The sequence below is a fragment of the Homo sapiens genome, chromosome 1 (genome assembly GCF_000001405.40).
Source record: "Homo sapiens chromosome 1, GRCh38.p14 Primary Assembly".
Classification (NCBI taxonomy): Eukaryota; Metazoa; Chordata; class Mammalia; order Primates; family Hominidae; genus Homo; species Homo sapiens.
Genome location: NC_000001.11, coordinates 167,825,546 through 167,842,228, shown reverse-complemented (window position 1 = coordinate 167,842,228; position 16,683 = coordinate 167,825,546). Strand labels below are relative to the sequence as shown.

General features: G+C 42.4%; 1 protein-coding gene across 11 annotated transcripts in view; it reads left to right on the top strand.

Moving 5' to 3' along the window:
* ADCY10 (adenylate cyclase 10) overlaps positions 1 to 16,683 on the top strand; it is a 104,749-nt gene that overhangs the window by 71,906 nt on the left and 16,160 nt on the right. For 7 of the 11 annotated variants that reach the window (NM_001167749.3, XM_011509762.4, XM_006711449.5 and 4 more), the window contains 5 exons: positions 4,911 to 4,980; positions 5,689 to 5,920; positions 8,152 to 8,259; positions 9,067 to 9,242; positions 12,806 to 12,962. In NM_001167749.3, coding sequence (NP_001161221.1) covers positions 4,911 to 4,980; positions 5,689 to 5,920; positions 8,152 to 8,259; positions 9,067 to 9,242; positions 12,806 to 12,962 — 743 coding nt within the window. The other 4 variants (XM_017001778.3, XM_011509763.4, XM_005245330.6 and 1 more) reach the window with 4 other exon arrangements.

The following is a 16,683-nucleotide window of genomic DNA, read 5'->3' as shown; positions in this document are numbered from 1 at the left end:
GTTCAAGGATGCAGTGAGCCGTGATCATGGCCACTGCTCTCCCCAAAAGGGGAAAAAAAAGACATAATTGGAGGAGATTCAGGGCTACTGCATTATGTGTGAATCAGATAGGGAGGAAGCTGGTAGCTGGTCCCTTTCAATTCTCTTTTGATCCTCATGTCCTTCTTAAGAACTGTTATTTTCTAAGTCTTGATTCATTCCAACGGTTTACCCTCCTGGGGGCTGTCCTTCAGCTTCTTCCACCTATTTCATCAGTGACTACTCTTCTCACTCCTTTATCTTCTACAGATATGTTGAACTTTCATTCAGCATTTCATTTACTCATTCCACAATTATTTATTTATGTGCCAGGCATTGCTTACTGCTCTAGGCATCTGAAATGCATCGGTGAACAAAACAGCATTCTGTTGGAGAAAAGTAGACAGTGGAGAACAAAAACATAATAAAGAAGTAAATATCTGGGTGCAGTGACTCATGCCTATAATCCCAGTGGCTTTGGAGGCTTGAGGCCAAGGGTTCAAGACCAGCCTGGGCAGGATAGCAAGACCCCATCTCTTAAAAAAAGAATTAGCCAGGTGCGATGGCTTGTGCCTGTAGTCCCAGCTACTCAAGAGTATTGCTTGAGCCCGAAAGTTTGAGACTGCAGTAAGCCATGTTCACCCTACTATACTCCAGCCTGGGTGACAAAGCAAGACCCCAACTCTTAAAAAAAAAAAAAAAAAAAAAGGAAAGCATATAGTATAAGCGATAAATCCCATGGGGAAAAACAGAAAAGAATGTTGGGTAGGAGGAGCGCAGAGCCATTTGGGTGACTTCACTGCAAAGCAAGATTCATGTAAAGACAGAGGAAGTGAGGGATTTTGCTGTGTGAGTGGCTGGGGAAGACTGTTCTAGGCAGAGGGGTAGAGAATGCAGTGACCCTAAGACAGGAGCGTGGCCCTTCCATTCTATACATGTTGAATTTATACTTTTAGAGATCATTTTATTCTTGCCAGGCACAGTGGCTCACCTGTAATCCCAGCACTTTGGGAGGCTGAGACAGGTGGATTGCTTGAGCTCAAGAGTTCAAGACAAACCAGAGAAGCATGATGAACTCTCCCTCTACAAAAAATACAAAAAAATTAGCTGGGTGTGGTGGCAGGTGCCTGTAGCCCCAGCTACTCAGGAGGCTGAGGTGGGAAGATCATTTGAGCCAGGGAGGTTGAGGCTGCAGTGAGCTATGATGGCGCCACTGCACTCCAGCCTGAGCGACAGAACAAGGCCCTGTCTCAAAAAAAAAAAAAAAAAATCATTTTATTCTCATTTAGTTAGGTAAAATGTCCTGAACCTGGGGAGACAGAAGATAAACCCAAGAGGTAGTCTGACATCTTGAACCTAAAGTCTTAGTTTTAGTTCTTTGAAACCATAAGGTGGGCAGGTGATATCTTTGCTTTTCTCTTTTCATTTGAGAACCTATAGGCATTTGTATGTTTTTTTCTTTTGATTTTTACAGATTCTCCTTGTAGTAGGAAACTCTTAATATAATATCTCCTTTGTAAATGAAAAAAATGAGAATCAAAAATAATATGATTCTGGTTGGGCACGGTTGCTCATGCCTGTAATTGCAGCACTTTGTGAGGCCGAGGCAGGCAGATCACAAGGTCAGGAGATTGAGACCATCCTAGCTAACACAGTGAAACCCCATCTCCACTAAAAATACAAAAAATTAGCCAGGCATGGTGGGACACGCCTATAGTCCCAGCTACTTGGGAGGCTGAGGCAGGAGAATCGCTTGAATCCAGGAGGCAGAGGTTGCAGTGAGCTAAGATTGCACCACTGCGCTCCAGCCTAGGCAACAGAGTGAAACTCCATCCAAAAAAAATAGTAATAATAATATGATTCACCCAAGCAATAAATGACATAATGACAAAGAGCATACCTCATATGCCCTGATTCTATTTGCTTTATCTATCCAATCTTTGCATCCCATTCTATCACCATTACCATTTTTTTTTTTTGAGACAGGGTCTTGCTCTGTTGCCCAGGCTGGAATGTAGTGGCATGATCTGGGCTTAGTGCAGCCTCAAACTTCCAGGCTCAAGCCATCCTCCCACCTCAGACTCCCAAGTAGGTGGGACTACAGGCACATGCCACCATGTGCTGCTAATTTTTTTTTCTTTTCTTTTTTTTTTTTTTATAGACAGGTCTTGCCATGTTGCCCAAGCTAGTCTCAAACTCCTGGACTCAAACGATCCTCCCACCTCAGCCTCCCAAAGTGTTGGGATTATAGGGATGAGCCACTGTGCCTGGCCACCATTACAACTTTAAACATAAAAAATACATAGAATGTTGAAGAAGGAATAGCATTTTCATTTTACTGATTGATTTATTTTCAACAAACGTGCGTTTATGCAACAAACATTTATTAAGCGTCTACCATGTGCCAGGAAGTGACCTAGATATTCGGACCATAGTAGTGAAAAATGGTAGACATTTATTATCAATTTTTATTTTATTATTAAGATAGACATGTCTCTTCTTATAAATTTGAATTTTAATGGCAACTGACAGACAATGAACAGATTAAGTAATAAAATCTTCAAGGGGCCTTGTAGACTTTGATAAATAGTCTAAATTTCAGTCTAAGTGAATTGGAACACATTGGAAATATATCAATTAGAATGAGTATTGGCTGCATATAATAAGGACCTAGCTAGTGTGGCTTAAATTTATTTATTATTAAATGTATTGTATTTATGTATTTCTCATGTAAAAGGCTTGCCTCATCACTGGGACTAGTATGGAGGCTTCATGATCATCAGGGTCCTTGGTCCAAAACAGCTGCTGAGGCTCCAGCCAGCATGTTTAATGCCAGAAGGAGAAAAGAAGCCAAAACATGAAAGGATATCCCCTCCCTTTTAAAGGATCTTCTAAAAGTCCTACCCAGTATTTCCTCTTACATCCCATTGATCAGAACCTACTCACATGACTATATCCAGTTGCAAGGGAAGCTGAAGAATGTCGCTGTCTATTACTAATGAGAAAAGGGACAATGGAGATTGAGTTGGGAAACCGGCAGTTCCTGCCACAGAGATCTGAATCATGCTTTTTAAATGGTACTGCCTTCTCTACAGAAAGAGATTGAAAAGGATAGGAATAGAAGGGAGATTAGTTTTTTGCAGTTGTCCAGGTAAAATTTTGGTAATGGACTGAGGTGGTGCTGTAGTGAAGATGGACAGAAGACGATGAATTCAGATATGTTTTTGGGTATGGTCAACGGGACTTTCTGATGGACTGAATAGGGAAGGGGGTAAGAAAAAGAAAATAATCAAGGATCTTGCGCAGGTTTTTGTCTTGAGAAAATGGATATATGACAGTGATGCTTACTATGTTAGGAAAAGTTGTAAGTGGGTATAAGTTTCTGGAGGAGAGATTCGAGAGTTTCTGTTTGAATCATGTTAATTTTGAAATGCCTATTACACATTCAAATGGCAGTTGCCAAGGTGGTATTTGAATATATGGGTCTGTAGTTAAAGTAGATGTCGAGGCTTAGATATATAAAATGGAAATCCATTAGCATATGAATGTAATTAAAAGTCATGGGCAGATGAAACTGCCTAGGGAGAAATTGTGAAAGGAGAACGGAGCCCAGGACCAAACTGAGGTTTACCAACATTTAGAATGTTGGTAGACGAATAGTAGCCAATTAAGTAGGCAACCAATTCCCTTATAACACACAAAACAATGTGTGCTAAAAGAATCAGTGAAAAGGGAGAGTGGTCACTTGTATTAAATGCTGCTGAGAGGTAATCAAGTGCAGACAAAGATGTAGCCTTTGGATGTGGCAACATGGTGGCCACAGGTAACTTTAACAACAGCAGTTTTAGAGAAGTAGGGGGACAGGGTCATAATTCAATATATTCAGCTGCTAGTCACTAAGGAATCAATAAATAGTAATCTAGGAGAAGAGGTGGCCAAATTGATCTCTGTGCAGTACAATAAGGACTATGATACAGGTCTGCACAGGGTTGACGGGCACACAGGAGTTGGGGTACTTATCTATGGAGGCAAGAGCACAGAGGGCTTTCAGAAGAAGGTGGTAACTTCTTAGATGTTCAAACTGCATCTATAAGATGTATGGAGTAATGCATTAGCCTGGGAGCCAGAAAACCTAAGTTCTAGTCCTGCCTCCACCACTAACAGATGTATGACCTGAGACAAGTTCATTCCCCTCTCTGGGATTCTTTCTTCTGCCTGAAGGGAGAAATGGCTGGACTAGACAAGCCTCATTTGTTTTCTGTTTTAAGATCATTATGGAATTTTCTAACCTGTTCAAGTCTGCTTAGACTGAGGTTTTTAATTTAAGATTCTCTGCCCTTCAGTTAACCTTTTGGGGTATTTCATTTAATTATCTATATTTCTCCACTGGAAATTGATGTCACTTTCTTCAGGTTTAATTCATAGTTTTTATTGCAGAATAAATGAGTTAGGATAATGTTATTAGCTATCACAAACCCCAGCATTTCTGTGGATTAACACAAGAGAGTGATTATTTCCCCCTTATGAAATAATCCAATGCAAGTGTTGACCAATGGCTTTGCATGCAGTTAGCAAGGGACCCAGGCTCCTCCCAACTTGTGGGTTTGCTATCCTTCAGGTTCTTAGAATTACTTGCTTTCTTGTGGAAAGAGAAGGCAGAGAAGACACATAACCATCTTAGCCTAGAGGTGACATATATTACTTCTGATCTAATTCTATTGTGAGAACTCATCACGTGGCTTCACCTAAGATACAATGGGGACTAGGCAATGTGGTTTCTGGCTGGGCAGCAACAACTCCGAAAAGGGAACAAGAGTCTTGGGTAGACAGCAGATATCTCCACTGCAGAGAACATTTCAATGACCCATACAACTCATTTGTTTATTTTCTAGCTGAAGAAAAGCTTATCTTGTCCAACTCAGAGATTCCTGAGACATCTGCATTTTTTCCTGAAAATCGCAGGTAGAGGCATATATCATTGTTTAGGAAGTAGAGCATAAATAATTGTCATTAAATTCAGAACACTATTAGAATCATTTGTCTGGCCAGTACTTTTGACCTCTTAGATGCAAGTGGGAAACTTTGGGGGGTATGCATGGTGAGTTTAGTCAGTAGTATCCACACTAGGTTTTATTATCCTGCTCTTTTGTTTTTAAAGATATTTTATTTTATTTATTTATTTTTTCAAGATGGAGTCTCGCTCTGTCACCCAGGCTGGAGTGCAATGCCACAATCTCAGCTCACTGCAACCTCCGCCTTCTGGGTTCAAGTGATTCTCCTGCCTCAGCCTCCTGAATAACTGGGACTACAGGCGCCTGCCACCACACCCGGCTAATTTTTTGTATTTTTAGTAGAGACGGGATTTCACCGTGTTAGCCAGGATGGTCTTGATCTCCTGACCTCGTGATCCACTTGCCTTGGCCTCCCAAAGTGCTGGGATTACAGGCATGAGCCACCGCACCCGGCCTAATTTTTATATTTTTAGTAGAGATGGGGTTTCACCAGGTTGGCCAGGCTGGTCTTGAACTCCTGATCTCAGATGATCCACCAGCTTCGGCCTCCCAAACTGCTGGAATTACAGGCGTGAGCCACCGCGTCTGGCCTAAAGATATTTTAATATCAAAAGTGATACTGTATAAGTTACTATTATTTATTTCTGCATATGGACAGTCCTGAAGAAATAAGAGAAAAGATCTTGAATTTCTTTGACCACGTTTTAACAAAAATGAAGACATCTGACGAAGACATTATCCCTCTGGAATCTTGCCAGTGTGAAGAAATCCTAGAGATTGTCATCTTGCCTCTGGCCCACCATTTTCTGGCTTTGGGAGAAAATGACAAAGCCTTATATTACTTCTTAGAAATTGCATCTGCTTATCTCATCTTTTGTGATAACTACATGGTAAGCTGTTTCTACCCAGACCACCTCCACCCTAGAGACAATTCATAGAACATAGAGCCAGAAGGAAGCTCCAGCATGCTTTCTGATTACTTCACGTTGTATATTCCCGACAGCACCCCTTTCCACTGAAAATCACATTGCTTAGAAGGGAAATGATCTAAGATTGAGAAAAGAGAATTGGAATACATTGCAACTAGCATTGTAAATTATTTAAAATATTGCCACCTTTAGAAACTTGCCATGAATTGTCTACCTGTATGGGAGGTAAGGGGGCACATCTCATTCCCAAAATGATGCAGAGAGGACTCTCAGCATAGTCTTCCTCAAGTGGCATTTACCCTCTGTTAAGCCTAAAATACCTGTGAGCACAAAATACCTGTAGGTCTTTGGATAAGTGCAATTCTGGTTTTTTGTTTTGTTTTTGAGATGAAGTCTTTGTCACCCAGGCTGGAGTGTAGTGGCGCGATCTCTGCTCACTGCAACGTCTGCCTCCCGGGATCAAGCCATCCTCCCACTTCAGCCTCCTGAGTAGCTGGGACTGCAGACGTATGCCACCATGCCCAGCTAATTTTTTGTGTTCTTGGTAGAGATGGGGTTACACTATGTTGCCCAGGCTGGTCTTGAACACCTGAGCTCAAGGGATCTGCCCTCCTTGGCCTTCCAAAGTGCTAGGATTACAAGTGTGAGCCACTGTGCCCAGCCAATTCTGGTTTTAATATTGTGATCCCCAAAGAGGCTCTCCCTGCCTTTGTCATCATGCAATGTGTGCTAGATTATTACACATACCATTAGACCACCAAAGCACTAGTGAATGTTTCTCTAGGGTAATTATAAATAAGGTTCCAGGGCACTATGCCCATAGAAATGAGGGGATTTGATACACATGATGAAATAAACAGAATTCATTGTTAAGTAAGTTGGAAATCACTGAGCTGAATACAGGTAAATAGATGCCTTTAGATACTTCAGGGCCTTTGATATGCTGAGATATATATATAAATCTGTTCAGAGGACACAGAAGGGTAAAGGCCAGGCTAGGCTGAAGCATACTGTGTTTCTCAAACTTATTTGCCCTTAGATCTCTTTTCATGGAGCAGCTGGCTGGGCTAACCTTCCATGAACTCACTTGAGGAAATGTCTTTCTGGGCCCTTGCTTCATCTGACTTCAGCCAGCTTCAGGAAGAGCTTCATAGACCTTCCATAATTTACAGTTGCTACTGGTCACAGCAGCCTAATCAACCCTCCTACCTTAGATTTATATAAAATTATAAAATTAAACTGTTAAAAATGTCACTAAGTTCCTGTCCTTGAAACATTTATGTTAAGAATGAAAGTCTCCTGCATATTTCATGCACATATTCGAGGTGATGATGGGGATGTAGCCAATGAGTCCCAGGAGGAGGAGGCTTAGGTAGCCCTGGGGGCCAACTTTCTAAAACCTATGCATACCCCGTTTCACTTGACAAGAAGACAATGATTAGAAGCACAGCCTCAGTGCAAGGTCCCAGAATGTGACATTTGTACCCCCTCTCCCATCAAACTCCAGTGGGACTGGGGCTGGTGGCCAACTCATCATGTCTCCCTCTTTTTTTGCCTCCCACACATACCCAACAGGATGCATGAGACTGGGAGATACTGCCTCACCTTATTATATTCTTCAAGTCTGATCTTACCTTGGTGTGCACACGTGCTAAGATTTGCCTAATGATGTTGGGAGGTGAAGCTGAAGTGATGAGAGTTGTGCAGGGACTTACTTCCTCATCCACCTCCCAAAATGACCCTGGCAAAGGAAGTGGGGGTGATTCATAATTCATTTAAAAACTGAAGACCAACTTCTCACAGATGTGGGGATGCTGTTCAAGGGAAGTGGATGTGTTGTTGGGAATAGGGAGGTTGGGGATAGAATTATTGAGAGGAAGAAACTGGCTTGAGGGAAACTTCGGGTAAGGCAACCTAGATGATAGTGTGAAGAAAGGTGGAGATTTCCAGATTCATTCTCTTGATGGAGTGATCCAGCAGACAAAGGTAAGCATGAAGGTGAGATCTTTACCCATCAGCTCCTGTCTGGAATTTGGAAGCCCATTTTAATCAGTGGAGCTGGGGATGGAAGTGGAGGTGGTAACTGAAATGGCTCCTGCATCTCTTACTTCAGTAGAGTCTGGGGCAATGGCCCTTCTGTGGGCTCAATCCCTGCTGAATCAACACTTTTCTACTCCTTGGGCTGGTTACAGGCATACATGTATTTGAATGAAGGACAGAAGTTGCTAAAAACTCTCAAGAAGGACAAATCTTGGAGCCAGACATTTGAGTCTGCCACCTTTTACAGCCTCAAAGGTGAGGTAAGAAACCATTAAAGACTTGAATTTATCTGTTATATATCTTAGGCCTTTCCATAGAAGTAGAAGTCATCCCTATACTTTCTACACCCTCCTCCCATCTCTTGCCACAGACTTCTAGCCAAGACTCTAGAAACTCAAATCCCTGGGCTCCAACCTCCTCACCATGGCTTACCAGCAAGATCTTCCCTGTCTTCCAGGTTTACATCTTTTTTTTTTTTTTTTTTTGAGAGGGAGTCTTGCTGTGTTGCCCAGCCTGGAATACAGTGGCGTGATATCGGCTCTCTGCAAATTCCGTCTCCTGGGTTCAAGTGATTCTCCTGCCTCAGCCTCCAAAGTAGCTGGGATTACAGGCATGCGCCACCACGCCCAGCTAATTTTTGTATTTTAGTAGAGATGGGGTTTCACCATGTTGGCCAGGCTGGTCTCAAACTCCTGACCTCAAGTGATCCGCCCGCCCTGACCTCCCAAAGTGCTGGGATTACAGGCGTTAGCCACCGTGCCCGGCCCAGGTTGACACCTTTATGAAATATTTTTGTTACAATCTCTAAAAATGGACCTGAATGGGTAAACATTGTCTCAGAGGTAGACAATGCACAACTAAGATGCTAAATCCTAGTCATTCAACCACCCTTCATGCATATATCCAATAGACATTTTCTATTATGCCAGGCACAGGAAGATTTTGTTTCTGGTCCATAAATTACCTTTTTTGATAAGAATCCCCAAAATATGGATTGTTGGGACCTACTAATTAAGTTAGAATCATCGTTTTCCTCTTTTCCTCTCTTCCCTCCCACCTCCCTGTAGGTCTGTTTCAATATGGGCCAGATAGTGCTTGCCAAGAAAATGCTGAGGAAGGCACTGAAGCTCCTCAACCGAATCTTTCCTTACAACTTAATCTCCTTGTTTCTCCATATCCATGTCGAGAAAAACAGACACTTTCATTATGTGAATCGGCAGGCCCAAGAGAGCCCACCTCCAGGGTAAGGGAAGGAGCTGGGGAGAGCAGACTGTTTAGTCTCACTCCCCAGAGAGGCCTACACATAATCCAAGTCAGCCCCCAAAGCCTGGCCTCCAGGGGGCACAAGGACTCCTGTTTGGCTCTGACCATTCACTGGGGAGGGGGCGAGTGTGGGAGGTGCTCCCATACCAGGGTTGCCACAAAGTACTTTACAGGCAGTTTTTGCCAAAGGGAATTTTGATGACTCAAACATAAGGGACCTCGTTGTAAGGTAAGTTCTAGGGTCCGTCCTAACTCATCTAGCCCTTTAACCCCCATGGCCATCCGTGTTCTCATTGGATGGAACCTGCACCACTGCTCCTGGGACCTCAGTCACAAGCCCTCTTCCATTAGGTGCTAAGACACTGGGTTTTGCCCCGCCCCAAAGAAAAATAGCAAGCCCTGAAGACATTTGCCAAAGGACAAAACTCCCACCCATCTAGGAATCTCAATAGGGATATGGGTTACATGGGGGGTATCCGTTGGTCAAAATTGTACTGTTAAGATTTGGGCATTTCAATATATATAAATTCTACCTATAAGATAACTATAATAATAATGAGTGGGAAGAAATAGTGAGTGGAGAGGTAGATGAAATAAGCATGTTGCTAGTTGTTGAAGGTAGGTGTTGAGTGCATTTTGCTCATCATACTCTTGTTTGCTGTGTGTATGCTTGAATTATTCTATAATAAATGTTTTCAAAAATATTCCACCTATCTAGCAATTCATGGCAAAGGAGATGCCTCCTTGTTGGGTACCTGGAGAGCTGACAGAGGACACCTCTTCCATCTTGGGGGAGCTCTGTAGCTATATTACTATAGGTTCTGCCTAAGATACAAACATCTATTCCTACGAGCAAGCTACTACAACTCTTTTGCAACCCCATCAGAAACTGCCTTCCCCAGCTTCCAAACATGTTCCTTTAAATGTAGGGAATCCTGAGGTGAAAAGGAAATGTAATGGAGCTGAGCTCCTGTGCACGTTGGAGGTGGGCTCCTGGGAAAACCTGGCTGTTTCTGGAAACCCCAAGAGGAAGGGCTGGGAGATGTTCAGCAGAGATCTCTCTGAGAAGGCAGTGGTCTTTGCATTACACATAGGGTTGCAGGATGCCTCAATTTGAATTTCAGATAAACAGTGAATACTTTTTTTAGTATACATCTATCATATGAAATATTTAGGACATATGCATTCCATAAAAATTATTAGGTTTAAAATTCAAACTTAATTGGGCATCCTGTATTTTCATCTGCTAAAACAGGTAATTTACACATTTCACATTTTGTAAAAGGAGTAAGAAGTACCTGCACAAAGGGAAAAGGTAGAAAAGTGTTGAAGAAGAAAAAACTGAGGAGCTGTTGGCTTAAAATATCCACAGGTCAAAAGGTTCTCATCTCAAAAATGAGTATGACATGGAACAACATTTAATGTCAGAGTGTCCATGACCCTCACGAATGCCCTATAAGAGATTTTACCCAGGGCTGGGTGTTGTGGCTCACGCCTGTAATACCAACGCTTAGGGAGGCTGAGGGGGGCGGATTGCCTGAAGTTGGGAGTTCGAGACCAGTCTGGCCAACATGGTGAAATCCCGTCTCTACTAAAAATACAGAAAAAATTTAGCCAGGCGTGGTGGCGTGCACCTGTAATCCCAGCTACTCGGAAGGTTGAGGCAGGGGAATTGCTTGAACCAGGGAGGTGGAGGTTAAAGTGAGCCAAGATCGCGCCACTGCACTCTAGCCTGGGCGATAAAGCGAGACTCCGTCTCAAAAAAAAAAGAGAGAGAGATTTTACCCTGTCCATGTTTCCTAAGAACCTTTAAAAAAAATCATTTCCACATCATAATTTAGAAAGTTTATTTTGCCAAGGTTGAGGACACGCCTGTAACACAGCCTCAGTAAGTCCTAACGACATGTGCCCAAGGTGGTCGGGGCACAGCTTAATTTTATACATTTGGGGAGACAGGAGACATCAATCAACATATGTAAGAAGTACATTGGTCTGGAAAGGTGGGACAACTTGAAGCAAAGGCAGGAAGTTGGGAGGGAGCTTCCAGGTCACAGATAGGTGAGACAAAAGTTGCATTCTTTTGAGTTTCTGATTCGCCTTTCCAAAGGAGGCAAATCAGATATGCATCTATGTCAAAGGGCAGAGGAGTGACTTTGAATAGAATGGGAGGCAGGTTTGCCCTAAGCAGTTTCCAGCTTGAGTTTTCCTTAGTGATTTTGGGGGCCCAAGATATTTTCCTTTCAAAATGCAATAGTTAAAAATGCTCATTTTTTGGCCAGGCGCAGTGGCTCACGCTTGCAATCCCAGCACTTCGGGAGGCTGAGGCAGGCGGATCACCTGAGGTCAGGGGTTCAGGACCAGCCTGGCCAACATGGCGAAACCCCATCTCTACCAAAAACACAAAATAATTAGCCAGACATGGTGGTGTGTGCCTGTAATCCCAGCTACTGGGGAGGCTGAGGAAAGAGAATCGCTTGAACCTGGGAAGCAGAGGTTGCAGTGAGCTGAGATCATGCCACTGCACTCCAACCTGGACAACAGAGCGAGGCTCAAAAAACAAAAAATCCTCTTTTTTTTTTTTTTTGTAAACTAAAAAGTACCCAAGACAGGTATCAATCAATCTGTAAGTTTATTTTGCCAAGGTTAAGGACATGCCCAGAAGAAAAAAAAACACAAAACCACAGAAACAGTCCCTGTTTGAGACTGCAGTATTTAAAGGGGAAAAGTGGGCTGGAGGAAAATGAGGGAGGGCGTGATAATAATCCACATGTTGCAAGAGAATAGGAGCAGCTAGGGGAATAGTCAATTATGTATTGTCTCACACTCAGTAAATAGGCACTTAAGGTAGGATAAGGCAGACATAGAGTAGCTACCCGTGCAGATACTTAACTTTTTATCTGTAGCTGTCTGCTAAGGAACAAAAGGAAAGGCAACTTCTTGCATGACTCAGCTTTCAGCTTAATTTTTTCCTTTTGGCATAGTGAATTGGGATCCTGAGTTTTTATTTTCCTTTCACACCTTTGTTGAGCTGAGAAGTAGTTCCTGAAAGCAGTGTGCAATGGAGAAAATAATACATTGGGCTTTTGGGCTGGAGGTAGATGGAGTTTGAATCCTGGCACCACCACATTCCAGCTGTGTGTCTTTGCCTTAATTACTTAACCTGAGTCTCACCTTCCTCAAATGTAAAATGGAGTCAGTTATTCCACTCTTTTCTTACAGGATTGTCATCAGAATCAAATGTGATGAATAATATCAATGTGCTTTTTAAATAGCTTCATTTAGCAATTACCTGACTCAGGACAGATGCTTTACATAAATTATCTTAATCATTATAAAGTAGGTATTATGATTCCCATTTTACAATGAAGAAAATGTGCTCCATAAAAATTAATGTGCTTGTTTGTCAGTCATGGAGACAGGCCTCAAATTCAAGTCAGTTTTGATTCCCAGGCCCATAGTGAGGACACCATGTACCTGTGCTCCCCTAAATCATGGTAATGATGATACCTTTCATGTTCCATTTGTGTTTACCTTATCCAATAGGAAGAAGAGGCTGGCACAACTTTACCGGCAAACTGTCTGCCTTTCCTTGCTGTGGCGCATCTATAGCTACAGTTATCTTTTTCACTGCAAGTATTATGCCCACCTGGCAGTTATGATGCAAATGAATACTGCACTGGAAACTCAAAATTGTTTCCAGGTAGGGGATTTTTGTAGCTGCTCCTTTAAGTTTCTGAATTTCATTTGGGAAGAAAAGCCTAGTGAAAGCCAATTAGGATTCAAAATTCTGAGGATATAATAATAGAAGGCTTTCTGATTGGCTTGTTTTGACAAGGCCAGCAGTTCTCAAACACTTTGGCTCCAGGATCACTTCACACTCTTAAAAATTATTGAAGATCCCGAATAGCTTTTATTCATATGGGTTGAATCTATTGATAGCATATAAGAAACAAAAGTCGAGAAAATTCTAAAATATTATTATTATTATTTTTGCTGGTTTTTTTTGAGATGGAGTCTTGCTCTGTCACCCAGGCTGGAGTGCAGTGGCACAATATCGGCTCACTGCAACCTCCACTTCCCGGGTTCAAGAGATTCTCTTGCCTCATCCTCCTGAGTAGCTGGGACTACAGGCATGCGCCACCACACCCAGCTAATTTTTGTATTTTTAGTAGAGACGGGGTTTCACCATGTTGGCCAGGCTGGTCTTGAACTCCTGACCTCAAGTGATCTGCCCACACTGGCCTTCCAAAGTGCTGGGATTACAGGCGTGAGGCACTGCACCTGGCCTAAAATATTATTTTAAAATAAAGATAACAAGCCTATTACATATTAACATAATTACCATTTTCATTTTTTAAAACTCTGTTCCGCAAACAAAAAATGGGAAATGTGGCATTGTATTAAATTTTTGCCAATATTTTAACATCTGGCTTCTTAGAAGACAACTAGATTCTCACATCTGCTTCTGCTTTCACTGTTGCAGTATCACATATGTTGCCTCTGGAAGACTCCAGTGTATATTCATGAGAGAATGAGGGTGAAAGAGAAAAATGTTAAAGGATAATTCTTTTTTAAAAAGATAGAATTATAACTGATAACAAATATGGAAAGTACACATCAAAGATTTTATTTAACTCACTGAGTTGACTCAATCAAAATTAGTAAGATTGGAACCAAGTGGTTCCAAGGAGAATCTGTTTACCAATGGATACAAAACTTGTCTAGTAACAGCATAATAATCACTTGTATTCCACTGAATATTTACATTTCTATGAAAAACAAATCATATCACTTATATTAATATCAGTTTTCTGCAACATAGTTGTAAGATAGTCCAAAGAAAAATAGAGATAACTTTGATTAGTAAGCTAGATAGGATCCCCACTAAGTTGTGTTTTTGCCCATTTTAAGGTCTTTCACTATTTTTCCTGTCACAAATAATGCCTGGATATTAGCGGGGCATGGTGGCTCACGCCTGTAATCCCAGCACTTTGGGAGGCTGAGGTGGGCGGATCACGTGAGGTCAGGAGTTCGAGACTAGCCTGGCCAACATGGGGAAAACCTATCTTTACTAAAAATACAAAAATTAGCTGAGTGTGGTGGTGGGTGCCTGTAATCCCAGCTACTCAGGAGGCCGAGGCAGGAGAATTGCTTGAACCCAGGAGGCAGAGGTTGCAGTGAGATGAGATCACACCATTGCACTCCAGCCTGGATGACAAGAGCGAGACTCCAACTCAAAAAAAAAAATTTTTTTTTTTTAAATTTAAAATGCCTAGATATTATGGAACTAGCTTTGACCTCATGTGGTCTCTGAAAAGGTGCCACGGATCCCTAGGGCTCCCAGGATGAATTGGGAGAACCACTAGTCTAGGTCATAACCAAAGAAGCCTTTGACTGGATGAAGAAGATATCAGGAGACATGATCAAGAAATTATTAAGCTAAATCAAACTCATCTAATGAGAGTGACCTTGCTCCTTTATAAAAGTACATTAAATCAGCAGGCCGGGCATGGTGGCTTATGCCTGTAATCCTAGCACTTTGGGAGGCCGAGGTGGGCGGATCACAAGGTAAGGAGATCAAGACCACGGTGAAACCCTGTCTCTACTGAAAATACAAAAAAAAAAAAAAAAATTAGCCGGGCGTGGTGGCGGGCGCCTGTAGTCCCAGCTACTCGGGAGGCTGAGGCAGGAGAATGGTGTGAACCCAGGAGGTGGAGCTTGCAGTGAGCAGAGATCACTCCACTGCACTCCAGCCTGGGCGACAGAGCAAGACTCCATCTCAGGAAAAAAAAAAAAAGTACATTAAGTCTGGGTTTCTTCCTCCTGGAGTCATTAGTTGTCAAGAATTAAGGGAAGGGGTCAAGTAGCACCAAGGAGCTACTGTTGGAGGAGCTTAGATTCCTAACCTGGAGTCTGTCCTCTACATTAGTTCCTTTTGGTGAATTTAGGCTGGCTCTCCTAGAATACAGAAGTATTTATAAAGCCCATCAAGATTGACCCCTGCCTATTTCCCATCCTCTTCTAGCTCTGTAGGCCATGAAGTAGCCACAAGCCCAGCCATATTGGTCCTCTTTTGGTTCCTCAAACACAGAAGTTTAATCCCATCTGTCACTGGATGTTTCCTCTGCTTGGAGGGAACTGGTCATGGCCACCCATTCACTTTCTAACTTGTCACTCTGTTTTAATAGGTATTATTACCATTTGACAATTTCTTGTTTGCTCCTGCATTGGTTCTTGGTCTCTCTCCCTTACCAGTGTGTAAATCCCTTGGAAGCAAGGACCTCTTCAGCTGTCTTGTTCACATCCTAAGTTTCTAGAACATTTGCAGTTGCTCAAGAAATTTATATGGACTGAAATACTTCTCCACACTTGGAGCTATATCCTAAGAATTGTGGTAGAGTTGGGGTGGGGAAAATAAAAAGTCAGGATAGAATGTGAACCAAGACATTTGTCATCAAGGTGGCTGGGATTGAAAGCAAAGAAGCGCTCCCCTCAGTGCTCAAAGGCAGGTGAGGGACTCAGCATGGGAGAATGGAAAGAACCAGACTGAGAGCCAGAGGGTGGTTTCCAGGACTCCGCCTATCTGCAGTGTGACCACTGAAAAGCCGCATAAACAAGGAGCTTTATATTTTCTCTGTAAAGTGAAGCAGTTGGACCTCCATTCTCTTGGTCCAAATCCAAGAGGTCCTAGGCTTTATTACAGCCTTGGATTTCTCGTGCCCAACACTTCTCTCTTCCCCCACCACCATTTCTGGCTATCCTTACCTTCTGGTAGCATTATCTGGAACATGTTCCAAACCAGAAAGAAAGGAATTCTCTAAGACTGATGTGGTTTAAGTATCCAGGGACCTGCCTATAACACAGAATTTGTAGGCTGCTTATTTTGTCCCATCTGAGGAATTCCAAGAAAAAAGCCTCTACTCTAAAACACTTCCCCGACCCCAATACTCCCACCACTAGAGATACTTTATTTTTCCTGTTTGTATTTTTCAAAGTAGTTTACATGTATTATTTTGTTTTTGTATATATAATAAAACTGCTTCTTTAGAAGGAACCCTTTTCTCCTCACTATTCTCTAAGCATGTATACTCTGAAGCAACTTTATCTTTTTAAAGAGTTGTTTAGAGTAACCAGTTTCTCTTAAATCTGCAAATTAGATTTATTTGTTTGTTCGTTTTTGAGAAGGGTCTCACTCAGTCACCCAGGCTGGAGTGCAGTGGCGTGATCATGGCTCACTGCAGCCTCAACCTCCCCTGCTCAAGTGATCCTCCCAAACACCTCAGCTTCCTGAGTAGCTAGGATTACAGGCTTGTGTCATCATGCTGGCTACTTTTTTTTAAAATCTTTTGTAGAGATCAGGTCTCACTATATTGCCCAGGCTGGGCTCAAACTCCTGTGCTCAAGTGACCTCTCGTCTCAGC